Genomic DNA, 27,329 nt, shown 5'->3' on the forward strand with positions numbered 1-27,329 from the left:
TTGAGGAAACTGATGGAAAAACCACCAAAACAGTGACAAAATTGGCCACATCACAGCAATTGACAGAGCCAGGTGTTGGAATCCGGTTCTCCCGCTCATAGCCTGTTCTCTTCCCACCCTGACTCATCACAACTAATAGTAGTTCACACTCGCGAAGGCTTGCTACATAAAAGGCTGCATCTTATGTTATTTATGGATGTTAAATTTATTTAACCCTTACATTCACATTCTGAGAGAAAAGCTATGGCTACCCCATCAAGCAGATGAGGAGTCTGAGGACAGGAAATGGTTAAGAACCTCGCTCAAGGTCACATGACTGGCATGGAGAGGAACCAGGACAAACACAACAATATTTTAAAAAGTAAATTCACTTATCTTTTGCACTATCCATGTGCCTATTATCAAAGAATGCTTGCTGGCAAGTCTGTGTGACGAGACGCACATGAGGATGTGGAGAGTTTTATTCTACGAAGTGAAACTCTTCTTTGATTCATCAGAGCTTTAGTGAGGACCTTTCCTAGCAGGCACCACTGCATTGGTGGTACCTAGGTTATGTGAGCCGCTTGGGGATGAAAACCAATGTGGTAGAAAACTCCTCTATGTTTCAAGCAAGCTCTTCCACCCTAAACCTTCTGTTTGAGAAGCTCACTGAGAGTAAGAAGCGCCCACTCACCCCCCAACCCTTGCCAACTTCCTTCTTTGCTTGCATTGAACCTCAAGAGGGACAAGCCAACAGTAAGGGATTTGATTGTAGAGACCACGGTCTCTAAGAGGACCCCTCTCATTTTTAAATTACAGACCTCCTTTGGATACCCAATGAGAATATGAGATGATAAGAATGCATTTATCCCCCCACCCACTCAACAATATCCTTGCTTTGACTAGTTTTGAAAGGTGGGACAAAAATTATGAATATAGATTAGAAAATATATACCTTACATTAACAAAATCAAGATTTTATTAATTTAAACACATAAATGCAGGCACATACACACAACACATGCCAATAAACTGTAGCGAAGATTCCCACTTGAAGTGCTACTGTCTCACAACTATCAAAGTGAGAAGCCATAAAAGATACTCTACCTGGGATAGACAATCATGGGTGTATGATGGAATTAGGCTGCATTGTTTGCAGGGCACGCGCACACAACCTCAGTTCACTAGCTCTGTATCTCTGCTCGTTCATGATCCTCTGCTCTAATACACGTTTCCCCCTTTCTAGGCGTATTTGCTCTCTTCTATATCAGTAACCAGTTTCGGACTTTCCCCTTCTCCATCAAGGACCAGTGCATCATTTTCTACAGTGGTGTTCGAGGAGCTGGAAGTTTTTCACTTGCATTTTTGCTTCCTCTGTCTCTTTTTCCTAGGAAGAAAATGTTTGTCACTGCTACTCTAGTAGTTATATACTTTACTGTATTTATTCAGGTAAGTAGATTTCCCTTATATTTAAATAAATAGGTTATTTCAGGACAATGTAGTAAATTAGTAAAATACAAATAAAGGCATTTTATCTGATTTTCAGATCTGTGCTCAATACCCAAACTAAATTTCCGGAGATTTCTAGATCATGTTTGTGACCATCCTTTAACTTCTAAAATGTATTGCCTTTTAATCAATACAGCATATTTATCAAAAGATTCCTGAGTAACAGGTGACTAATAGTCACTCCATATTTCTGAAAATGAGATTCCAATTAGTACTACGTAGCACAAGTTTTTGTTTTAGTTGGAGTTAGCTCTTAATGAACTAATGAAAGATTATTTTAATGGGTGAAACCAAATTCCTATATTAACATACAGGCATGATATCTATTTTTATTGCAGTACTTAAAGGAATGGAAAACTGAAATGAACATTGCAGCATTTACTCTGTAATAGCTAGTACAAAAACATATAGATTGGACATTCTAATAGTTTTGTTAATAAATTTGCTCTCTCTAGTGACAGTCTTCATTACAACAAAACCCTTTGTTTTGTTATTTCTGATCTAGGGAATCACAGTTGGCCCTCTGGTCAGGTACCTGGATGTTAAAAAAACCAATAAAAAAGAATCCATCAATGAAGAGCTTCATATTCGTGTAAGTTATCTCATAGTCACAATTAATAAATTAACAAGACATTTCCCCTTTGTCACCATGAGACATGTGCACGTGTCACTAGACTTCCTCTTTCCTTCCCCACTCTGCCAAGAGTGACTGTATAAGTTTCCTATGGCTGCTGTAGGAAATTGCCACAAACTTAGTGCTTAAAACAATGCAGATCTATTGTCTTATAGTTCTGGAGGTCGGAAGTTCAAAATCCAGTTGTTGCAGGGCTGCGCTCCTTTCTGGAGGCCCTGGGGAGAATCTGTTTCCTCACCTCCCACAGCTTCCAGAGGCTGCCTGTGTTCCTTGGCCCATGGCCCCTTCCATCTTCAGAGCCTGCAAAGGCTGCATCCCTCCAACAATGATCCTTCTGCCTCCCTCTTCCACACTGAAGGAGCTTTATGATCCCACTGCAGCCACGTGGATAGTTCAGGAGACTGTCTCCAGCTTAAGGTCAGCTGATTAGCAACCTTAAGTCCATCTGCCACTTAATCCTCCTTTAAACTAAACTACCATATTCACAAGTTCTGGGGATTAAGACATGGATATCTTTGCAAGGTCATTGTTCTCCCTACCACAGTCTGCCGTCTGTCTCCCAAAGATTCATATCTGTTCCACATGCAAAATATCTTCCTTCTATCCCAATACCCCAAAAGTCTCAATACACTGCATCATCAATTCAAAATCCAAAATATCATCTGAATCTTATCAGTTCAAAAATCCCAAATCTCAATATCTCCATCATCTAGAGCAGGGCTCAGTGAGGCTCTGGGTATAATCTATTCTGAGGCTCAGTTTCTCTTCATCTATGAATTTGCAAAACTCAGGAAACAAGTTATCTGCTCTTAAAATATATGGTAGGACACTCATTGAATAACAGTTGTAACTGTTGCCTTTCAAAAAACTATGGAGATAATGGAAGAAAAAAAGGAGTCATCGATACTAAGCAAACTTCAATGTTTCCTGGGCAAGCTCTATTTGGTTCCAAGGGCTGGGAATCCCCTAATCTCTTGCAACTCTTTGTTCCACCCTCTGGGTTCTCAATTTCACCCTCTGAATCATACTTCCTTTTTTTTTTTTTATAAAGGTAGCATAAATTTGCAGCTGAGTAATTTTATCAGTCTATTTCTTGCTTATAGAATTGTGAGGGTCCGACATCTTTCTTTCATTTTGTCCTCCTTTTTTGTCCAAGCTGGTGATGTTTCCATCAGGGTTCAACAGAGAAGCAGAGCCAGTAGGATGGATGGATATAGATATAGATAGATATAGATATAGATACAGATACGGATACGGATACAGATACAGATACAGATACAGATACAGATACAGATACAGATATAGATATAGATATAGATATAGATATAGATATAGGAAGAGATTTGTTGTAAGGAATTGTTTTTCACTAGTGTTAGGGCTGGCTAGGAAAGCCCAAAATCCAGGGGACAGGCCATCCAGAAGAGCAGGCTGGAACCCTCAGGCATGAGCCAAAGCTGCTGTCTACAAGTAGGATTTTTTCTTCATCAGGGAAGCCTCAGGCCTGTTCTTAAGACATTTCAACTGAATCAGTCCCACCCAGATTATCTGGGGTCATCTCCCTTAAGACAACTGATTATGGACTTTAATCAGATCTATAAAATACATTTACAGCAACATCTAGAGTACTGTTTGATTGAATAACCGGGGACTTGCCTGTCTAAATTGATACCTCAAAATACTATCACAGTGACTAACATTCAAAATTGTCCTGTTTGTTTCTAAAATCACCGTTCCAATGAAATATGGGGTCCTCTGCCCTTTTTGAATATAGGAGGGGCAAAGGGTATTACTTCTTTTGCAAACATGGCCGAGTGGCAGATTTTAGTGAAAACATCCCAGTCAGGCAAAGATGAATATGACACTGGGCATGGTTTCTATTTGTTTGTTCAAGTTCAGCACAACATTGAAGGGATACCACTGTGTACAGCTCCAAGGAATAGAAATGAGAACTAATGTCTGAAGGGTTATAGGTGGAGACTTCAACTCAGTTAATGAAAGAGCATTCTGACAATCATTTCCTGATTGGCACACCCGAAGCTGAAGTGGATGTGTCTAACCAGTGATTGGGAACATGTGGCATAGTTGCTGCACATGAGATTCAAGCTTTGAGGAGATAGTTGAACTTGAAAAATTTTAGGTTTCCTCTATCCCTGAGAATTCACCATTTTAATACTAGAGAAACTGATGAATGATGAAGTCTTCCAAAATCTACCCTAAAGTTCATGGTCAAAGTGACCTAGGAAATTTGGTTATTTAAATTCCAGGAAATCCTAATGAAAAATTTTCAAGGCCATTTGAAAATAATTAACAGATAAGGATAAGTAGTGACTGTTTTAAAACATGTAACAACTTAACATCTATCTTTATCTCCTATGATTTATTATTTCGACATATTGCATAATCCACCTAAGTCCATGGAACTTGGATATTTCACTCTTCTCTCATTTATTTTTCTTTTCCTCAAAAAAGTTATAATTTTTGGTAGAAGGTAGTGAATTAATTATTTAATAATTAATTTAATATTTCAAACTATTTTTCAAAACAAAATTCAGAAGCCAGTATAGACTTCAATAATTTCAAATTTAAAATATTTGGAGACTAATTTCATAATTATTTTGAAGATTGCACTTTTTCCTAAATTTCCATAAACAATTTGGGTTAAAACAAATGCAATATAATTTGCTTAAGTGGTCATATGTAATTACTCAGATCAAACGAGCATATTAAAATGAGAGATACTTTGTTATTCTATGTTATAGTAGAATATTAACAGAATTATATTTTCAGAAATTATATGATTGGATAACAGTGTGTTCTTTTCTTCTGCAATGAAATTAAAAGTAAGTTATTACAATTATTTAATAATATCTTAAATATGATATATTTTATTATTATTAATTATCCTCCGAGTGATTTCAGTAATGAGAAATTTCCTAGATCATTCTAGAAAAGTATTATCCAAAGCAAATGCCAGGTGCCCTGTTTTCATTACGTATTATGTGAATTATGAAGAAACTTATCTACAGAGTCTTTAAACCAAAGTTGAAATTACTATGAAATTACTATGAAAGGCACCAAATATTTTATTACATGAACACAGTGATAGAAAGTCAGATAGGCTCCAGAAAATTAAAGGCTCCTTTGTTTTTTAAAGTGTCTTAGTTGTCCTGTGTGTCTTTCAGAGTTCGCGTTTCTCCAGCAATCATTTTCTTGTGTTTGTTTGGCAGCTGATGGATCACTTAAAGGCTGGAATCGAAGATGTGTGTGGGCACTGGAGTCACTACCAAGTGAGAGACAAGTAAGGAGGCTGAGGGTTTCACTCCCTGACAAACTTCTAAAGGTTCCATTGGAAGCTGGGCATAAAATCAGAGAGAATTCAGGGAATGGAGACCAAGAAGATAAAGTGCTCCTGAGCCATCCCCTACAGGAAGTGGTTGAAATTCCAGGGCATGCTAAGCCTGGAAAATGAAGAATTGTCAGGTGGAAGACGCAGTTGACTTGGTGTAGGTTGTTTCAGAGAGAACTGGTACAGCTAGTGGGTAGAAATTAGAAAAGTAATATTTAAGTTAAAAACAAGGACAAGGTTCCCAATGATAAGATCAGCTCTACCACGGAATGGCCAGCTTAGAAAAGGAGTTTAGAAAGGGAGCTTGGTGCCTCCTTAGGAATCCTGGCAAGGGATTCCTCCATTGTTGGGGAGGCCATGGTGGAAGATCTTTAAGATTCTCAAATATAGTAATTCTTTTTTAAAATGCCCAAATCCCTCTTCTTCACCATATCTCACCTTTCAGAATGTATTGTTTTACTGGACTTAGTTTCCAGTTCAGGAGGGAGGTTGCGGCTAGAGTTGTCAGTGAGTAGCTGGAAGCTCACTGAGGATGGGGCTCTGAGAAGCTCTCACTCTCGTGGCGCAGGCAAGGAAAAGAAAGTGCGGAAGGAGATTGAGAAGAAGTGGTCAGAGAGGCTGGCAGCGAAGCACGAGCGAGTCAGGGTGTGGAGGGCGCAGAGGGGAGGACCCAGCACGTCAGGAGACACAAAGCATCCAGTATGGGAAGAATGAGGGCAGCCTCTGGAGTTGAACAGGGCAAGGTCAAGGCGAGCTCAGTGAGAAGAAAGTCAGGGAGGGTGTTATGGTTGGGGAGGTGATTACCGTGGGCTGAGAATACACAGGAACCGCGGCTTCTCATGAGGGCAGAAAACTAGAAGACAGAAGATCGACCCAGTTGGAATAAGAGGAGGCCTGGTCTGAGCCGAGCTGGGACAGCAAAGCTCAGGAAGCCAGCCCCTAACCCTGGAGGGGCTTAGCACCTCACAGACCAGGAAACCAATTGCCAGATAATAAACCAGCAGCCCGGAAAGCTATGTGCCCCTCTGGAAAATAAAGCAGGCGGGCAAACTACTCTTTGAATGTAAAATGATTGAAAGTGTTGAAAATTCCAACTCCAAACAAATGGCTGACTCTGAAGGCACCATATGCATAGCGCAGCTCAGTCGAATGGGCTGGCCAGAGGTTCCTTACAATAGTCAGCGGCCATCAGTCTCGCCTATTCAGAATCTCCATCATTCAGGCTATTGGGACATACGTAGGGTTTTTTTCTTCCCCTTAATTGGTAGGATTCAAAATGATCTGCAGCATAATGGGGCAAAACTACTGTAACTACCGGGCCATTTAAACTTATTGGGTTCTGGTTGAATAGGCCAGTATTACTGTAAGTGCAGCTGCCGCTGTTATGCGCTATTAGAATGGAACACTTATTCAAAAGCTTCAGCCCCCTCATTTCTTCTCTTACAATTGGAGCTGAGCTGGGCTGGGCCTCCCCCGCGCCTCACTTATGCACACTTTTTGCCCTGATTGCAGCTTGTCCCTTCCTTTTGTTTAGCTGATTTTCAATGTATTCAGGCCAGTAGGCCATTCTTTTTTTTTATTTTAAAAAATGCATAAATGCTATGAATTTTTTTAAAAAATGTGTTCAAATGCTATGAATTCCAGGCACTGTCCTGATGTTTCTTCAGAATAAAGTTAAGTAGTAAGTAGTTTGTTTCAAGAGAAATGCATACTTAATGTAACACATACAGACGTTCAAGATTTCCAAAATGTTGGTTTTCATTTTTAGGTTTAAGAAGTTTGATCATAGATACTTACGGAAAATCCTCATCAGAAAGAACCTACCCAAATCAAGCATTGTTTCTTTGTACAAGAAGCTGGAAATGAAGCAAGCCATCGAGATGGTGGAGACTGGGATACTGAGCTCTACAGCTTTCTCCATACCCCATCAGTGAGTCATATCTGTTCTTTGTTCTAAACTTTCACTGTCAGAATTCCAAGGGGCGCTGACTCATTGCCTCATTTAAAGGTATACGAGGAGTAAAGAGGCAGAAATATAAAGAAGAAATTATTTTTAAAATATGTAATCTAAGTCTTGGCATTTTTATGGCTTGGCCCAAGCTCACATATTTTACCTAGTTTCTGAAAATTACTTTCTAGCAAATGTTGCTTCCTTAGAGTTGTATGACATCTTTCTTTGGGAGGGAAGGGCAAGCGAATGTGTAGAATTGCAGCATATTTTACAAGACTGTCTCATTTTCCTCTTGACATGACCCCCGTGCATGTGATTCTGTCCTTCCTACCATTATGTTTCTTCCCATAAGCCATTTCTCTTCCTCTTTTACATGAGAGATGAGTTAACTTTCTGAGATGATAACTTGGATTTGGGAAGGAGTGATGAGAGCAAGAGGTGTGGTCATTGGTGGTCTATGTAAAGAGAAAGTTGTGTTTGTAATTGCATCTAAGGCGAAGGTCTACATGAGATTGTGAAATTTGTCTTGAGTCTATGTGAGACCAGCTTGGAGTAGAAGCAGGGAGTTGCCTGGATTCCTGGGGAACAGGGAGTTGTGGAAGCAGGACATAGGGAGGGGTGATACTGGAATATAAACCCATCATTACAAGACGATTTTCTATGCAACGTGGTAGAGCCTCTGGTAGCCACTTGTCCCAAGAGCTGGCTAAATACTTCTTAAAGCTGTTTTAACTCTGACATTTAATGAGAGCCCCTTCAATGTCAAAAGAACTCATTAATTTCCCAAAGATGCCCAGTTTTTCTCCAACAACTGATTTATTGGGAAAATTAATCACAACATATATTTAGGATAAGGAACATGGGCCCCCTCCATCCTGTTGTCTTCAGCAGGTAAAAACACTTGATCATATGCTTCAATTATGTCTTCACATTTAAAAAGGAAGTTGGAAGAAGAGCTAAGAATAGGTAGCAATAAATTTGTCTCTATTGCCTGAGTGTTATTTCTGAGATAACACCTTCATCCCTTGCCTGCTAATAAATCAGAAACACCCTTGCATTTCTTACATGGCCTGAGAAGAATCCTAACTAAAAGTCACTAAGAAATAAGGCAGAAAGCTTTGTATTATACTGAGATAATCCCTGAGGATATCTCAGTATAATACAAAGCTTTCTGCCTTATTTCTTAGTGACTTTTCTTTGAGGGTGGTGGAGGGGTTGTCGGTTTGTTTTGATGCTGCTCATCACATGGCTTTAAGGAAACTTCTGATATTAAAATGGAAAAGTGTTGACAGATATATACTGGCAGTGCTCTGCTGCATCATGGTGGAGCCCCAGGCAAAGGAAACATCAGGCATATCGATCCTCTATTATTTAAAATGTTGATATTATATTCATCAGTAATTTTTTGCATTGACCTTTATATCTATAAATATTGCATTTAAATCTGACTTACCTTAGTTACTGAGTTTTTTGCAACCCCCTTGCATTTGACACCTTTGATCCAATCCTGTCTGTTAAGACACCTCCTATGTGCCAGCCACCTTGAAGCAGACACAGGCCTTGCCCTCATGGACACCATACTCTGGTAGGGTCATGACGTTAACAAAAAAGGCCACACAAACATAATCATAAAGAATAGAGAGCTACGCAAGTCTATGAGAGGTGCACCTCACCTGGGCTCCTTGCCTTTGACCTGCTCACTGAAGGATGAATGCTGATTAATGCAGTTTAGACCATTTCACTTATGTGAGCCCTTGGTTTCGGAAGGTATGGGTGCTTATCTAAATGAGAATCAGTCTGCCGGGTGGCAAAGCATATTTTGAATTTTTGTATTACATTGCATCAGTCATAAGCATTTGCCTTAATTTCTGATCTCAAGGCAATCTTTAAACCAGTTTTATTTGGAGTGGGGGCCTGCCGGTTAAGTCAATTATTTCTTTAGAAATGAATTTAAGATTAGTGAGACAGCCTTATAGGTACGAGATAATTTTTTTTTCCTCGTACACCCCAAGCAGTTAGTTAACTGGGGTGGGAGAGATTTTTTAAAGTTGATATTTAATACATATTTAGTATTTAAATTGCCTTTATTTGATCTCATCAGAAATCTGTAGGACGTCAAGCAAAAAGGAATTCCTCTCCTGAGATCAAAGCAGCTAATTTCTTACCAAACAAACCTTCATACAATAATAGGAAAAAGAAGTGTGTACTCAGCTCGCTTTTTATTATTCTGTATGAGATGATAACAACAAAATGCACAGGTATTTTTTTCTTTAGAAGTTCAAGCAATTGTTCTACAAAAGGTTTAGATTTTCAAATTCTATGACCTTCAGGAGAACACTGCCACTATGGTTGTCTATTTGCACAGTTTGGATGATGTTGATTTTTTGGAATCCCATTGCTTTTACATACATTATCTTATTTGAAACTCAAAGCAATCCTGTGAATAAGTAGAATATGCACTTTGATTACTATCTCAAATATGAAGCAGCTCATCTCACCAGTGAGTGGTAAGCTGTTAGAAATTATCAGAGATAGAGACCCAAGCTGATTAAAAGTGTTGAAGCCTTACACATTTTTTAATTAAAGTGATATTAAAATATAAAATATTTATATATTTATAGGCATAACAAACGTAACAACCATGCAACTTCAAAATGCATTTTAAAACTCCCAGATAATTTTAATGTGTCATTTTTTCAAAAGAGGCCTAAAGTAACTTCATTGTAGTCTAAGAATTTTCTAATGGATTGCACATTGACAGGTATAAATTCACATTTCCACATTCTCACACAGAAGACTAGGATGCAGGTTCTGATGCCATTTTTCACTTCCACAATGGAACACTGTATTTTGAGGAGCAGCATCATCTCAGCCACTCATCACTCATTCCAAATGTTGTTCATCTTGGTGACCTCTGTAAAAACATGCTAAGCAGCTGCACACAGGGCTGCTGGTGGGTTCCACTGTGTGCACCGCAGGCAAGTCTTCTTGTCTTCTGAGCCCACTTTTCCTACAGACTTCACATCTTAGCTGCTTAAAAAAAGATGTGTTCTTCTAAATAAATTCCCAAGTCATATTTGATATCTTGGAACTTCATCCTATGATATGTGTATTCTACTAGATGTTATAGTAGAATTGAAGCTTCTTTTTACATTATTATAGCAACTGACCAAAAGAGAAAAAGAATGAGGGCAGACTGAAGAGAGGTTGATTGATGAGAACAAATATACACTTGGAGAGAAGAAATAAGCTCTGGTGGTTGATAGGACTGTAGGGTAACTATAGTTAACACTAATTGTACATTTCAAAATAGCTAGAAGAGAATGATTTGAATGTTTCTAACATAAAGAAAAGACAAAAATGTAAGGTGATGGATATCCCAATTACCCTAATTTAATTATATGAATGTATCAAATTATCACATACACCCCAAAACTATGTACAACTACTATGTATCAATATAAAAGATAAGTAAGAAGAGTTATGGGAAAGATGAACGTTATATTCAATATACGTAGGTTCAGATTTTTCCAGTTTGATTGAAATTATTGCAGAACTTTTATTTAAGGTGATGAAGATCTCCTTTATGGATAATGAATGAATGGTCCAGTGACAAGAGTCTTTTGGTTTATAAGTTGACTTGATATAGAAATGATCACTCATTCAGTTTTTCTAAAGCTGTATCTCCTGTGTTTGTGCTGTGAGTATTTCAGGGACGATTTTGCTAATGAAGTGGCATGAAGAAAACTCCAGGTATCACCTTGCCCAAGGGAATCAATTCTGTAGCTGTAGAATGATAGCTGATATAATTCCATAGCTGCGGCTTCTCAGTGTGGCTCCATGAAGGGAAATGCCTTTGGGATACCTGGAGCACCCATTCCAGCCAGAGCTTGAATGGATTTTAACTAAGTTCGTCCCCCCCAAAGTGGTCAGTTATAAACTGGGAAGAGTGCCAAGTTACAGCTACTGCTATATCAAGTGTAACTTTACCATTTCCTTTATCAATGGTTTTCCCTATTAGGTTGTTTCATAATGAACACATAAATGGAACTATTTGACTAGCTGTTGTTTCTGCTTAGCAGTACATCACATTCACCACATTAAAGGAATGTGTTCAGATTGTGGAAGTGTGTGGGCATATCTAAATCAGAATAAATGTTATGTGAAGGACATTTAAACAGTTAGGTTTAAATGCCCTGATAATAATGTTTAGATCACCAAGGGTGGTAACTGTATATCAATAGAGGTGGCATTTGCAGCTTTACGATATGGAAACTGATTTCGATCAGTTTATAGAGAGGACATTAGTCAGTCTACAGATAGCATTGCTAAACAAAATCCAGGCTTGCTGTGATATTCAGTATCCAAGTCCTTTAATATCTTTTATCAAATGTACATTACTTTTAAAATGTCTTCACTATTTATGGCTGTATTGCTACTAATGTTTTGAAAAATACTTAAAAGGTGGCCTGTATTAAAACTAATAAATACTCATGTCTGTGGCCAATTATCTTAAGAGCATATGCAAGCAGATATCAAAGGCTTCAGTGCCCTTATGCGTTCAAAATTCAAAAGAGCTGAGGCTAGAAACAAACAAACAAACAAACAAACCCATTAAGGTTTATATCAAGATGTTAAGGAAGGTGATAGTATTAAAAAGGGAGTTAATTATTTTTAGTTCTCTCCTTTTTGTTCTTATGTTCCACATGGAATATATATTATTCATGTAATACAAAGTTTTTTAAAATTACTGCCACTAGATTGTAATCAAATACATTTGTCACATGATCATTCTTCCCCCAGCAATGTCAGGACTTTATAATCCCCAGAGGACAATTGTGCATTGACTACTAACCTGGGCACAGGCATAACCCGTTTTTTAATCCCTTTCAGAGGTGGGAAGGGGTCACAGTGTATAATATCTTAGAGCTGGGCTGGCTTTCATGGTATAAATGGTCTAATTGCCCTTGTAAAATGTGATTCTGGTTTCTTCAATTATTTCTTAACCAAAGATAAAATCCCTACAGATACAATTCCAATATAAATGTACTCATGAAACTAATATTCTATTAGATAAATGCTAATCAAAATGTGGTGTGTAGATGGTATTAATCTGTGAATTGCTTGTCACCTGTCCTCAATGAGATAGGTAAGTACAAAACTAGCAAAGAGTTTGTCTTTGAATGAATCATTTTTTTTCTGTTGCATTTAACGGTAAAATATTTGGATTGCATGGTATGGTATCATTTTCTAACAATTGATTTTTATTGTGTTGTACAAACATTTCAGTCTATAACAGATTTGGAGGAAAAAAATAACTTGTTACCACTTTAGACCTTTTTAAAAAAATGGGTTGGAATAATTACCATATATAAGCTATAGCCAAGGGAACAGTATTTTCAAAACCTGAAGTCAAGACATGTGTTTTGACATCAAACCAACTTACTAGAACAATAGGAAAAATTATATGTAGGATTCTGGAACTTAGGATTCCCCTCAGTACAGAGCAAGGCCCACTGATAGTTTTGTGGCACCTCTTGCCAAATGAAAGAATAATGTTTGTCTCTTCTCCAATAATGATTCCAGGGCCCAGAGGATACAAGGAATCAAAAGACTTTCCCCTGAAGATGTGGAGTCCATAAGGGACATTCTGACATCCAACATGTACCAAGTTCGGCAAAGGGTGTGTATGAGCCACCTGTGTTGTCCCCATTTTCTGTCCTTGAAAACAGTCTCTGAAGGGGGAGTCTGTTGATGTTCAAGTCTCCTGATGTTCACGTCACCCTCTGTAAGGTGGTAACTTGCTGAATATTTTCTCTCTGCTTAGTTTGGAGAATAGAAAGTTAATTGTCATGTTTCTGCTGCAAAATTGGTACCTGTGACATAAAAAGAAATGCAAATCTAGTTACCGTCTCTAGGGGGCAGGCTGCCCTAGCCCTGCAGCCTGGTGCTGTCCAGAACTAGCAGGTCTCTGTAGAGAAGCACACACACCACACCACAGAACAAAGATGGCACCAGGATGCTGATCACAGTGCAGTTGTCCCAATTGTATTGACTATAGTAAAGATGAGAAAGTTGAGATAGTTTAGGTTACAATATTGAAACTCTAATTTATAATGAATAAATGCCTGAATAAAAGGAGACATCTTATTTCTCAATTTTGGAACTAGGTATGAAATCTCTACTAGTCCTTGGGACCTGGTCCAAAGTGCATACTAAGAAGATTTCTGAGGACACTGGATGAATCTTTCTGAAACTTTGACTTAGTTAAATAATATTCCATTTAATTAGTCATCTAACGAAGTCATATAATGACAAGTTTTTTCAAGTTTGAGGATTTGATCATCCATTTTAATCCTAATACTTGGGTGTGATTGGAAATGAATTCATTTTGAGGGCCTTTGGTTTTGTGACTGTGTCGTTGATCATAGTCTTAATGAAACTAAAACAAAATCACCTAGGCAAAGCTCCCCATTTTCAAAGAGAAGATGCTGAGGTCAGTGGAGTTGGTTATCTGACTTGTTCAAGGTTACAAAACAAATCCAGGTTAAGAACACAGGTTTTCTACCCACCCACCCAGTGCTCTTTTCATGACTCTGGACTTATATAATCCAATGAAAGTGATTGTTTTCTGGTCTCCTGTTTCAACTCAAAGGTCAATGATTAAGAGGAATGTGTCAGTGAAAGGCTCTGCACCAGCTGGAGGAATACAGGTCAGCACTAATGGTAGTGCGCTTAGAGTAAATTCCATGGCTTTCAAATCATTCCAAGTGAAACTGTTTCAGTAAGACTATCACATCCTGCCTTAGATAAATAATAGATAACAACTTCCTGGTTTGAAAAATGTGGCTAGCTTAGTGAGAGCCAGAACCCATAGGGTACCTGGTACTCAGCCTTTTCCCTATGTGGATGAAGGCCAAGTTTAGGGAAAGGTCTAGAAACGGAGATGGAGATCCTAGGACTCTAATCCAGTCTCAAATAAGGTCAACTGCTCATCCTTTCTTTTCTTCCTTGGATGCAGTTTCCAAGATAGCATCCTTTGGTCTTTTTTAGTAAGTATCCTACTCATTCTGCTTTCCAGTGTTCTACTTTCTAAGCCATACAGCACCTCCCTTCCTCATTGCCCTCGAATTAAAGCACAAAGGCCTCTTTCCATTTAATAAGTTTATTGCTGATGACCTTGGGAGCCAAATGGGGAGAACACAATTGATAAACAGAGGGCAGTTACAAGCCTATGAGGTGGCTTTTTGACTCTGCTTTGCTTACTCCGTAAGTCAAACTCACCAGTCCTACCCCTTCCCGTCTTCCTTTCCTTACTCAGCTTTACAAAGGTCATAAGAATTCTCTCTTCCACCATGGTCCTCTTGATCTCTTGAAGGAAAAGTCTACCTGAAAATGCAACTCAGGACAATTATACATTTACTCTGTTTCTAGCAGACAATCTACATTTTTGAGGAATGTCACAAAGGGTGTACATTAGCCATCCTGCACTCTCTAGCCTGGGTGATAGATGCAGGCCTGGTAGCCAGGGCATTTCTCATTGTTCACATCTTGAAAGAGGCCATCTTGGGCGTCGGGATTTACCTCAGAGCAGGACCAGGATGAATGCAGAGTTTGACTCTGGGCGACCCTAATGCACAGTTGATCCGAAACTGAGCTGGCCCTGCTGGGTCTGTTGCTCCTAGGAGGACTCCAGCCAATTCTGTTTGAAGTCCTTCGACTCAGTACACCCAGGACAGAATCTTCATGGGTGGAAAACTTAAGGGACTCACCTCTGGAGGTTCCCGGTAGGACAACCACAGAAGAAGCTCTCTGAAACACAGTGGGGATGGAGATTGAGAAACACTGTTACTAATCTTACAAGAGAAGAAACTGGCTTCAGCCCAGACCTCCAGGATAGGTCACAGATTGATGGGTGATTCCCGAGTAGCCTGGATAATCAGATCACTCTCAGAATTTCTACATACTTTCAAAGGAAAAGAGCAATTTCAGTTTCCTTTAGCAAATAGTTAATACACATCTAGAATGCACCGGGCATCAGGAACACTGCACTGAAAAAGACAAAGTTCATTCTCCTTTAAGGCTCAAGGTCCAGTGGGAAATGCAAGCTCCACTATAACACAGAAATGGAGGGAGAGGAGCGAAGACACTTGCATGGACATTATATGCATAGAGCCTTCTATGCTCCCTGCAGATAGGCAAAATAGAGAAGCACGTGGGTCATGGGAGGTTATGGGAGGTGAAATGGAAGCCAAATGTCCAAGTGTTCCTTATAAAGTGCAGCCTCCTCCCAAGTCTAGGTGTAGGAAATCCTACTAGCAATACATTGTATGTATACAAACATGCACACACACACACACACTGAATTCAGTTTTGCATGATTTTAAAACTGATAAACAATTGTAAAAGTTTGTCTCTATATTCTTAATTCTTGTGTTATTTTTCACGACAGTGTCATGTTACCATTTTTTAATATTTCAATGTATAAAATGCACATAGGTTGAGGTGTATCATTACTAATGATAGACAAGAATTCATATTTCAAAATGTCTTCAAAATTCAACTTCTTGGGGCAAATTCTTGTCAGATCTGTTAATTTGCCAAAAGTGGATGATAAAGAGCTTCCATTGGGAGAAGGAGAAAGTTGGATTTACCCCTCCCTCACTGTTCCCTTGGCCTTCAGTTTATGCCTTCTTTTCTTTTCCCTTGGAGACAGTTGTCAGTCTCACTCTGTCACCCAGGCTAGAGTGCGGTGGCATGATCATGGCTCACTGGGGCTTTGACCTCCTAGACTCAAGCGACTCTCCCACCTCAGCTTCCTGAGTAGCTAGGACCGCAGGTTCACACCACCACACCCAGCATTTTTTTTTTTTTGTATTTTTTGTAGAGATAGGGTTTAGTCATATTACTCAGGTTGGTCTCAAACTCCTGGGCTCAGTGATCCACTTGTCTTGGCCTCCTGAAGTGCTAGGATTACCAGTGTGAGCCACCTTGGCAGTCCAGTTTACACCTTCTTTACAACACTATTTTTATACAATTATCTATTTTGTGAGGGTTACTTTAGTTAATAGCTAATGGAAACCATAAATCTACTTAACTGGATGCACATATACTGAAACACAAACAATGAACTGCAAGCCGATGAAACCGATGAGGATGCCATTGTCAATCCCTTGTTGACTTGACCGTCTCATGTATGGACTCAGTGAGGGCCCATTATAAATTCATACATTAAGTACTAATAGAGCTTAATCTGTTTTGTATTTGTTTGGATAAAAATCAATAGAAATAGAAGTATCAGTATTTTCTTTCTCACCCTGTGGGGCATCTTGTGGCACTTTTTGGAGTGTGTGCACCCTCCTAAAAAGCACATGACCTGGAAAATGGAGCCTCTACTCCTTGGCAGGCTGCCTGTGGCCTGGCCGCAGCCCCTCCATGCCCCTCCAGTCTCACCTCTCACACACTTTGAATGAAGCACCCCATTCTTTTATGGTAACAGACTCATTCCTGGCTCTTTTCCAGCACATCCTCTGACTGTTCTCTCACCTCTAAGGTGGTTACCAGCTGATGTCTTAGCTCATGTGTTTTCTCTTCCTGGAATTTATTCCCAGGATAACACTCACTCATCTTTCAAGACTCATCTCAGTACACTGAACCTTTCCCATCCAAGACTGGATGAAGTGCCTTTTGCCTGTACTCTATGACCCCCGATGATCCCAGAATCTTATCACTTAGCTGCACGCATAGCATCTTATCCCTATTGATTTGACTTCTCCAGGAAACTGTAAGCCTTTTGAAGACTGTAATTCTAATTTACTCACTTATGTAATCCTGTGCCTTCCACAGCACCTGGCACATAGAACATTTTCTCTATTGAAGTGAAACTGACTATCCCTATTACAGCATCCGTCACTTGGGAGGGAGAGCCCCTGCTGTCCCAATCCTATCATCCTCCAGGACTTTGTGGTTTATCAGTGCATACAGTGTGTCACCTACTGACCCCTGGCAAACTGAGCATTTGCTGGTGGACCTTTAGTGAGCACCAGGAGGGAGAAGAAATTTCAGTTAAGCATTTTGCAAACATCTGTCTGAGGACTGACTAATGTTGGCCTAGGGTCCATGACAAGTTTCCACTGGTCTGGGGTAAAGGACAAGGAAGACATTCTCATAAAGCTAAATTGATTCAGTTTGAAGGACTGTTTTTTTTAAATCTCAAATTATGTTCTTCCTGTGACTTTGGTTAAGAGACTTTCTTCCTGAATTGATGATAATGGTGATAGGAATTGTGTGTGTGTGTGTGTGTGTGTGTGTGTTTGTGTGCTTGCGTGTGTAGGTATCCTTAATTGGCAAAATTAAAAACCAAGAGCCTTATGGAAATTCCCAAAGTAGTTTAGATATTTTCCTTTCTTATTAAATTCACTGGCCTGGCATCAAAAACATGACCTGGAAAGGAAAGTGTATGTAAGGGGCAGGCCAAGTCTGTGGGTAACTAAGAGAAAGACCTCTGTAAGGGTTAGAGCAGAAGGCAGAGGCTCTAGCCACAGCTCCGCCCTGAAAGCAGTGACCTGGGGTCATAGACTTTTCTTCTTGGCGCTGAGGCTTGTTCATTCGTAATCAAGGCAAATGCTTAGCTGACCTCCAAGGTGCTCACCTGTTCTCCTGGTCTTAGGTTCCTGATGTTTCCATGGCTTCCTTGGCTGAAAGTTGTATGGAGGAGTCCTTACGTATTTGACATTCCATTTTCTCTGCAGACCCTGTCCTACAACAAATACAACCTCAAACCCCAAACAAGTGAGAAGCAGGCTAAAGAGATTCTGATCCGCCGCCAGAACACCTTAAGGGAGAGCATGAGGAAAGGTCACAGCCTGCCCTGGGGAAAGCCGGTACATTGGGGCTGGGGACTGGGACATTCCTTCAGTGTGCAAGTGTTTGTCATCTGCTGAGCCTGTTCCTGTACAGGATCTCACATGCATGACCATCGATGCTTAAACAAACAAAACCCCACCTTGTTACCTGAGAGATACTAAAGCAAGAGTGCAGGACACCAGAGCAACCTTTTTCTCTGGGTTCAGGGCCCCAAGGCATCTGCCCATAGGGTGCTTCCCTCCACAGTGGGTCAGGGACTGCCACACACTTGGTGTGCTATGAGTCCAGACACAGACCTTATGGTGACCAGGTACTGACCATGCCCTTCAGTCCTCATGGTCAGTACCTGGTCACCATGGGGTCTGGGTCTGGACCAGACCCTCTGATCCCAGGATGCTTACTTCTCTCCCAAGAAGGTATAGGAAGGGATTGGTTGTTACCAAGACTCCTGGGTCACCTTCACATCAGCCACTGTGTTCCTGCACTCTTCCCATTGGAGGCCATAACAAACCAGTCTTACTGGCAATTTGAATGGAGGCTGGGTGAGAAGCAGACCTTAATCTCAAGCCTAACCTCAGTGGGGATACGAGAGTAACTTTGAAAGGTTGCTAATGGTCTATTTTATCATGAGAGGGGAAGGAAATACATGTTGGAGACTGGCGTGTTCTGCTTTCTCAAAACAAAAAAACTAAAAGCCAGTAATCCAAACAAGATGCCACAGAACAGGTCTGTGTTCTTCCCCTTATTTTATTATATTAGTTTTGAGACAGAGTCTCGCTCTGTCACCCAGACTGGAGTGCAGTGAGTGGCGCGATCTCAGCTCACTGAAACCTCTGTCTCCCGGGTTCATGCGATTCTCCTGCCTCAGCCTCCTGAGTAGCTGGGATTACAGGTGCCCGTCTCCACGCCCTGCTAATTTTTGTATTTTTAGTAGAGACGGGGTTTCACCATGTTGGCCAGGCTGGTCTTGAACCCCTGACCTCAGGTGATCCGCCCTCTTCTGCCTCCCAAAGTGCTGGGATTACAGGCGTGAGCCACAGTGTCTGGCCCTTTATTTGCCATGTGAAGCTCTTAATTGAGACAGCTTATTCTGCTTTTTCTTTCTACTTGCTACCCACAGGCTGGCACCAAGAATATCCGCTACCTCTCCTACCCCTACGGGAATCCTCAGTCTGCAGGAAGAGACACAAGGGCTGCTGGGTTCTCAGGTAAGCTGCCCACCTGGCTGCTCTGCTGCTTTTCTGTAGAGTCAGGTGGTAAATATCTGGGGGTGTGGGCCAAGAGGCAACATTAAGAACATTATGTAGGTTACTTACATGATAAGAAAAAGAAGAAAACAACTTCTTTTATAGTTGAAACTCGGAACTTTGTTTATGAACACTGAAATTTGAATTTCGTATAATTTTTACTTTTCATGAAATATTATCTTCTTTTAATTTTTTTCAGCCCCTTAAAAATGTACTAACCATTTGTAGTTGACATGCCATACACAAAGAGGAAGTAGGCCAGATAGAGACCAAGGGTCATAATTTGATCTCATCTTGAAGAAATGTGAAAGGAGTGTTTCATTGAAGTTCTAATATTCACCCACTATTTAAATATGAGCAGAGTTCTCCAAAGCTGGTTTAATTTCACTAAAATGATTTCACCAGATTTACTGATTAAATGTTTTCCATTTAATATTTAATTATTAAGTGGAATTCTTAGAATTATTGAAACTTTATTATTCTAATAAAAGCAGTTACTATTTTTATATGTGTATAAAATGATTTGCTATTAGCAAAAGGTGACATAATATATGTAATATGCCGTGTTATCTATTTTTATTTTCCTAATTTTTAAGTGTTAAAATCATGTTGGAAATTCACGTAAACTAAACATAAAGGATTTTAGTATTTAACCTTTAAGGAGTATATGTAATTACCTCAAAATGAAACTTTTTTTCTGATTTAAAAACATACTTGATACAAAGTCAAAATCATTCAGTAGAGAAAAGCATAAAAAAAGTTAAAAGCATTTGCAACCCTAATGCCAAGGTATGATCACCATAGAATGTTTTGGTGAGCACCCTTCTAGAATTCTTCCTATACCTGCCTGATCCCACACTACCCATACTGACACCTCCCTCCACAAAAAAATCACAAAAACATTGCATCATATGATACATAAAAGCAAAGTATAGTCATTGTTTTGCAATCTTTATAAATTGCCTAGTTCACTGAACAAATGTTGTACCTAGGTTTCCATGTCAATAGATGTGGATCTAATACTCATTTTTAATGAGTTAATAATAATTATATGCATGTACCAAAGCTTATTAAGCTAATTCCTAATTAATAAATACTTAAGGTATTATCAACTTTTAATAAATATAAACAATGATACATATTAAGGGCTCTGGACCACTTGTGATTGGTATTTTAACAAATAAGCAATTACTCCCTTAGTATATTTTCCTAGAAGTAAAATTTTGAGGTCAAATTCATATAGATTTAAATTTTTACATATATTGTCAAAACACCATCACAAAAGATTATATCACTAATTTGCCCTCACAACAACAGTCTGTAAGAATGATCTTTTCCTAATACCACTGGGATGTTGTCAAACTTTTGAGTAATCTGTGATATCGTAGCATAAAATTTATATGTCAGATTTAATTTTCATATGAATCTCTTTGATTTTTAGTGAAGTTGAACATCTTTCACATTTTGGAAACAATGATATTTCTTGGGGTGAAGTTTTCTGTTCCTGCCTTTGCTCGTTTTTTGTTTTGTTTTTTTCTATTTGGTTGTTGATTTTCTTGAGATGAATTTGAAGAACCCTATATAACAAGGATATCATCCATTTTATCTCCTATATGTTGCCAACGATTTTTTTATTTTTTTGAGATGAGTCTCTCTCTGTCACCCCGGCTGGAATGCAGTGGAGCGATCTTGGCTCACTGTAACCTCTGCCTCTTGAGTTCAAGCGATTCTCCTGGCTCAGCCTCCCGAGTAGCTGGAATTACAGGCATGTGCCACCACACCCGGCCAATTTTTGTATTTTCAGTGGAGACGGGGTTTCACCATGTTGGCCAGGCTAGTCTTGAACTCCTGACCTCAGGTGATCCCCCTGACTCAGCCTCCCAAAGTGCTGGGATTACAGGCGTGAGCCACCGAGTCTGGTCGATAGTTTAATTTTTTTAAACCATCTTCCTGGTACAAATAACCTGGCACTATTTTTGTTATTTGAGTGAGAAAACAAGAAAGTGTCACAGTTCTTTCTTTTTTTTTTTTAATTTAAATTTTTTTAGAAAAAAATCTTAAAAAGGGACAGGGTCTCCCTATGTTGCCCAGGCTGATCTCTAACTCCCGGGCACAAGGGATCCTCCTGCCTCGCCTCCTAACATGCTAGGATTATAGGTGTGAGCCACCATGCCTGGACGACAGTTATTTCTTAAGAGATGAGCATCAATACTGCATGCCTATGGTAGCAGGAGATGACCACGGAGCAGATTCATTTGAACAAATCTTAAATAAGCATTATAAACAAAATACAGCAAAACACTAAAGTACAATACACCTTGCAAAGTGGGGTTTATTCCAGAATTTGAGAGTTGTTTAACATTTGGAAACATACATATATTATTCACTAGACTGATAAATAGGTCACAGGATCCTAACCTTTTAATGGATGTCCTCACTAAAGGATATCTCAGTCACACTTTCAGTCAAAGCCATAAAATGCCAGGAAGAAATAGACAGGATATATATGAAGGAAAAATAAAATTCTACTTCTCCACACTGTCATTTCCGGTCTATAAAGAGGATGATATTGGTTCCCTCCATATGCAATTGTATTGTCCTGATGTGAAGCCAGTCTCATACATGCAGGATACGCATATGAACAGGTACATAAAGCTGCTAGAGCAGAGTCTGGAACCAAGTAGATGTGCAAGAAATATTAGTCATTATTACTATTACTACTTAGGGACTTAAAGAAGCCTTGACATGGGTAAATACAGATGTTCTTGGAAAGAAAGACAACACTTCACCATGTCAGTTCTACATGAATTACTTCAGACTTGGAATGAACTGTTAGTCCCAATGATTTCTTTTCTTTCAAATATACTCGACTGGTTCTAAGTTTCATCCAGGTGAACAAAGACAGTGGTTAAACTAGAAATCTGAGGGAAAAGTAATGAAATAGCACTTATGTTAGCAGTTTTCTTTAATAAGTTTTAAAGATGGGAAATCAGTGCTCTGCAATATGTTATGGGTCATATGTCTGCAGGATTTTAAATACTTGTTCTTATTTGTCATGGAAACTTATGCCTATTTATGCAGACTCATTTCTGGCTTGCTTGGAATTAACTCTACTGTGAATAATTTGTCATTTCTGTGGTTACGATTTATGAAAAATAATAAACCATGATACATTTAAAAAGGATTATAATAGTGATCAGGATAAGGCTGAGATAGTCCTCAATGTGTAATCAAGCACAATTGATCATTGGAATCCTTCTCTCCAAACCCAAAGTCTTTCTGCACCAGGAGAATGGCTGGAGGGGATCTAGGGGAGACAGTGGAGAGTCATGTTCTGCAGGCAAGCAGTCCCTGGCTAACCCACCTGAAACTTGGAGAATGCTTCCCTTCCTAGCTCTCCCCTTGCCCTCCAGGGTCAGGACTTTTCTTGTTCTGGATGTCTTGGAGCTCCATGCTGGTTTGGGGGACTTCACATGCTTTTCCAGGGCTCTTTTGCCTTTAGGGCTCACTTGGTGTTATAACTAGAGAGGTCTTGACTGGAAACCTCTTATATGACCTGAGGCTGCTTAGAATCCATGTGCATCAAGGCAGATGAAAAAGCTCTGGAGATGAATGGTGGCAATGGTAACACGACAATGTGAATGCACTTCATGCAATGAACTGTACACTTATTTATAGTTAGATGAAAAAAATGGTTAAAATGGTCAATTTTATGTTACGTATATTTTACCACAAGTTTAAAAAATGTGGAGGTGGGGAGTGTTGCACTCCGAGTCTGGGTGTCTGAACAGTGTATCCTGCATCAGGTAGTTCATCCTCTGTGTGTTGGGGCCCGCCCTGCGCTGAGCAGAAGCACCTTCCTTATTTCTCCTTTCATGCCAGGGTGCCCATGTCCAGAAGTTAAGGCTTTTGGTCAGGTGGGAGGTAAAAGAACACATACTCAGATTTTGTTGCCAAAGTATCCACTGCTCTGCCTGGAACTGCACTACCTGGGTGCCCATGTGGAGGAGAGTTATGCGAAAAGGACAAAACACAGTCCTCACTCTTCCTTTTTCTGCCTTCTGCTTTCCAGCCAACTTATTCCTTCAATTTTGGGCAGCTCTCAGCCGAGTGAAACTTTGCAAGTCACATACCCATGCCTCTTCCTAGAGCTTGGAGTCCACTGTAAAATAACCCAGAGGGTGATCAGGAAACCAAAACAGTGACCAGGGTCTGTCCACTGATGGAGCACTCAACAGGAAAGGTTGGAGTGAAAGAACAGGGTTTGGGGGCAGAAGCCTCCAGGCCATTGTTTCCTTAGCTAGTGCTTCAAGCACCAAGGATCCAGAGGAACTGGTCCCAGGCCTTGTTGTAGAGAACATGTTAAAGGAGAGTCAGGGAAAAAAAATGGACAGATATATAGATATATTAATTAATGTTTTCTTTATTGAAAGAAGTTGGTCTCCTTTGGCCAATTTCCAAGTTAGCTTCTTAGTATAATTTGGTCACATTTTAGAAAAACATTATTGAACAGGATATTTTAAGATTTTCAGGTGTCCCACATTCTAAATACATTTTTTCAAGTGTAAATCTTTGGGCATATTCATTCTAGATATGGAGTTTTTGTTTTGTTTTTTTAGGAGGGAGAATGAGAGAAAGAACATGGCTTTCAGATTTAAATATAAAATACCTAAATTCTTTTTTTTTTTTTTTTTTGAGACGGAGTCTTGCTCTGTCGCCAAATCTGGAGTGCAGTGGCGTGATCTCGGCTCACTGCAAGCTCTGCCTCCCAGGTTCACGTCATTCTCCTGCCTCAGCCTCCCGAGTAGCTGGGACTACAGGTGCCCACCACCACGCCCAGCTAATTTTTTCTAGAAAATACCTAAATTCTTAGGAGAATTTTTAAAGGGAAAATAAATTTATAAGGCTAAGACTTTGAAGAAGTGAGAGTAAATGATATATGTGAGAAATATTCCTTTGAAGATGTGTGCACATTGAAGTGGGGACAAGACAATGTCCCAGGCATCGGTTAGGGGTCTGGAAGAGAATCCAAGAGGGGACATTGCATAGACAGCTGCTGGCTCCCCTCTCATGAGGTAGCCCTCCCTCTTACACGTGGATACACCAAGGAGACAGCAAGGAGACCTGATGGTAAGAAGTGGATTTGAAGCTGGATAGGCTCTGCTCAAACTCTGGTCCCATATTCACCAGCTTATGATATTGAGTATTGCTTAAGTTCGTGAAACCTCAGCCACTTTACCTGTGAGATTCATAACTTTACTCACCCGAAAGGGCCGCTATGAGGATTCAATGGCATGATATATTTAAAAGGATTAGCACAGTGACAGGCATATAGTAAATTATCAGGAAAGGGAAGTTCCCATCAAGTGCCATTCACAGTCTGTCACCTGCTTAGTCCTCTGAAAGGAGGGCATCCGGTCACGCCCTGGTCTCTGCTGTGGCTCCCTTCTATCCCCCTTTCTCCAGGATTGACTTTTTCTATATCAAAGATTGGAACTCAGATGTAATGCTTTCTGGTAACCACTGATTAAAAAGCAAACCAAGATAAAAGCAACCACTTTCAGATGGCTGCACCACATAACCTGTGTGTAGCATTGGCTTTGGACAAGACCAAGCATCTTTGTGTCCCATGGTTTATGTCTATGGCCAACTGATCTGATTCTGTAAAAAGACACTACCTTACTTACCTGGGGAGACTGGCTTGATACAGCATTTTGCATGCATTTCTATTTATTTATGACACTGCACTTATAGCTTCTGTCCTCCCATCTGCTTGGGGCAGTGTCCTTGAGAAGGAAAAATTGTGCTGATAAGAAAGTTGAGTGTAGAGCTGAAACCTCAGGAAGAGCTTTGCTTCACTCTGAGTTCCTGCCATGTGGATATTAAGTCTTAACTCTGATCTTAAGTCTTGTTCTTTCCCCTTCTTGCCATGATGTTTTCCTAGATGATGACAGCAGTGATCCAGGATCCCCATCCATCACGTTCAGCGCATGCTCTCGGATAGGGTCACTTCAGAAGCAAGAGGCACAAGAAATAATACCAATGAAGAGCCTACACAGAGGAAGGAAGGCATTCAGCTTTGGTTATCAAAGAAACACAAGCCAAGAAGAGTACTTGGGTGGAGTAAGGAGGGTGGCCTTAAGACCCAAACCTCTGTTTCATGCAGTGGATGAGGAGGGTGAGTCTGGAGGGGAGAGTGAGGGCAAGGCCTCTTTGGTTGAGGTTCGGTCGAGGTGGACAGCTGACCATGGACACGGCAGGGACCATCACAGGTCCCATAGTCCTTTGCTCCAAAAAAAATAGTGTTATTGTCCACAAGATTGTTTTGGTGTTTCTCAAGAGTCTGTCTTCCTATAACTGTGAAAGGAGGATTTCTGGAATTCAGAAGAGAGCTATTGAGTTTGCTGTGTTGAAGCTATTAAACATGGATCTATAAGCAGCAGGAAGATTTTTTCCAAGGACTGGGAGCAAACTTGCAGGCTCTGCCATGTACTTATTGTGGGGTACCTTTAGATGAATTCCCTGTGAGTGAGAGAAGTTGATCACCCCAGGAATTAGTCACTAAGAATTCCTAAGAACTTTCTATCAAAAGCATTGGATCCAAGCCATATATTGAAATACAAGCGTGATTAATCAGTAATTCACATTGCCGATATGCATATGCAACTTATAATCAAATAGAACTAGAAGAGACTTTGAAGTCACCTGACTCAGCCCCTTGTGTTTACAGACAAGGACATGTAGTCCAAGGTTGCATGGTGAGTTCACAGTCGGATTGTCCTCCCTCCAAACTGAAACTAATTTGATTTTGATTTCATATTCAATATGCAATAATTATGTTCTATCAGAGATAAAATTTGTTATGAATTTGCTTTATTTAATCAGTAGCAATGATAGATGTGATGCATACTATAGGATTAATCTGTGAACAATGGGTTTACGGTCTATTTCATAATTGAAATATTTATTTTAAAAATGAATATTAGAAACAAAACAGCCATAAACAGAGTTTAATAGCAATGATGTTAACAACAAGTATTTATAAGGGGTGCATTTGTAGGGTGTGACATTTTACCCTAGGGTATAAAACTATTTTTCTTTTATTATTATTATTATTATTATTATACTTTAAGTTTTAGGGTACATGTGCACATTGTGCAGGTTAGTTACATATGTATACATGTGCCATGCTGGTGTGCTGCACCCGCTAACTCGTCATCTAGCATTAGGTGTATCTCCCAATGCTATCCCTCCCCCCTCCCCCCACCCCACAACAGTCCCCAGAGTGTGATGTTCCCCTTCCTGTGTCCATGTGATCTCATTGTTCAATTCCCACCTATGAGTGAGAATATGCGGTGTTTGGTTTTTTGTTCTTGGGATAGTTTACTGAGAATGATGATTTCCAATTTCATCCATGTCCCTACAAAGGACATGAACTCATCATTTTTTATGGCTGCATGGTATTCCATGGTGTATATGTGCCACATTTTCTTAATCCAGTCTATCATTGTTGGACATTTGGGTTGGTTCCAAGTCTTTGCTATTGTGAATAATGCCGCAATAAACATACGTGTGCATGTGTCTTTATAGCAGCATGATTTATAGTCCTTTGGGTATATACCTAGTAATGGGATGGCTGGGTCAAATGGTATTTCTAGTTCTAGATCCCTGAGGAACCGCCACACTGACTTCCACAATGGTTGAACTAGTTTACAGTCCCACCAACAGTGTAAAAGTGTTCCTGTTTCTCCACATCCTCTCCAGCACCTGTTGTTTCCTGACTTTTTAATGATTGCC

The 27,329-nt window shown here is 39.8% G+C and overlaps 1 protein-coding gene across 2 annotated transcripts in view; it reads left to right on the top strand.

Annotated features, from left to right (window-relative positions):
- Nucleotides 1–27,119, top strand: part of SLC9A4 (solute carrier family 9 member A4) — a 60,747-nt gene extending 33,628 nt beyond the window's left edge. For both annotated transcript variants that reach the window (NM_001011552.4, XM_011511158.2), the window contains exons 5-12: nt 1,226–1,428; nt 1,994–2,080; nt 5,350–5,420; nt 7,237–7,398; nt 13,006–13,102; nt 18,171–18,302; nt 19,406–19,493; nt 25,477–27,119. In NM_001011552.4, coding sequence (NP_001011552.2) covers nt 1,226–1,428; nt 1,994–2,080; nt 5,350–5,420; nt 7,237–7,398; nt 13,006–13,102; nt 18,171–18,302; nt 19,406–19,493; nt 25,477–25,835 — 1,199 coding nt within the window. In that variant the 3' untranslated portion in view covers nt 25,836–27,119. The remainder of the gene's footprint in view (nt 1–1,225; nt 1,429–1,993; nt 2,081–5,349; nt 5,421–7,236; nt 7,399–13,005; nt 13,103–18,170; nt 18,303–19,405; nt 19,494–25,476) is intronic.
- Nucleotides 27,120–27,329: the final 210 nt, after the last annotated feature.

This window comes from Homo sapiens, chromosome 2, assembly GCF_000001405.40.
Source record: "Homo sapiens chromosome 2, GRCh38.p14 Primary Assembly".
NCBI classification, from domain to species: Eukaryota; Metazoa; Chordata; class Mammalia; order Primates; family Hominidae; genus Homo; species Homo sapiens.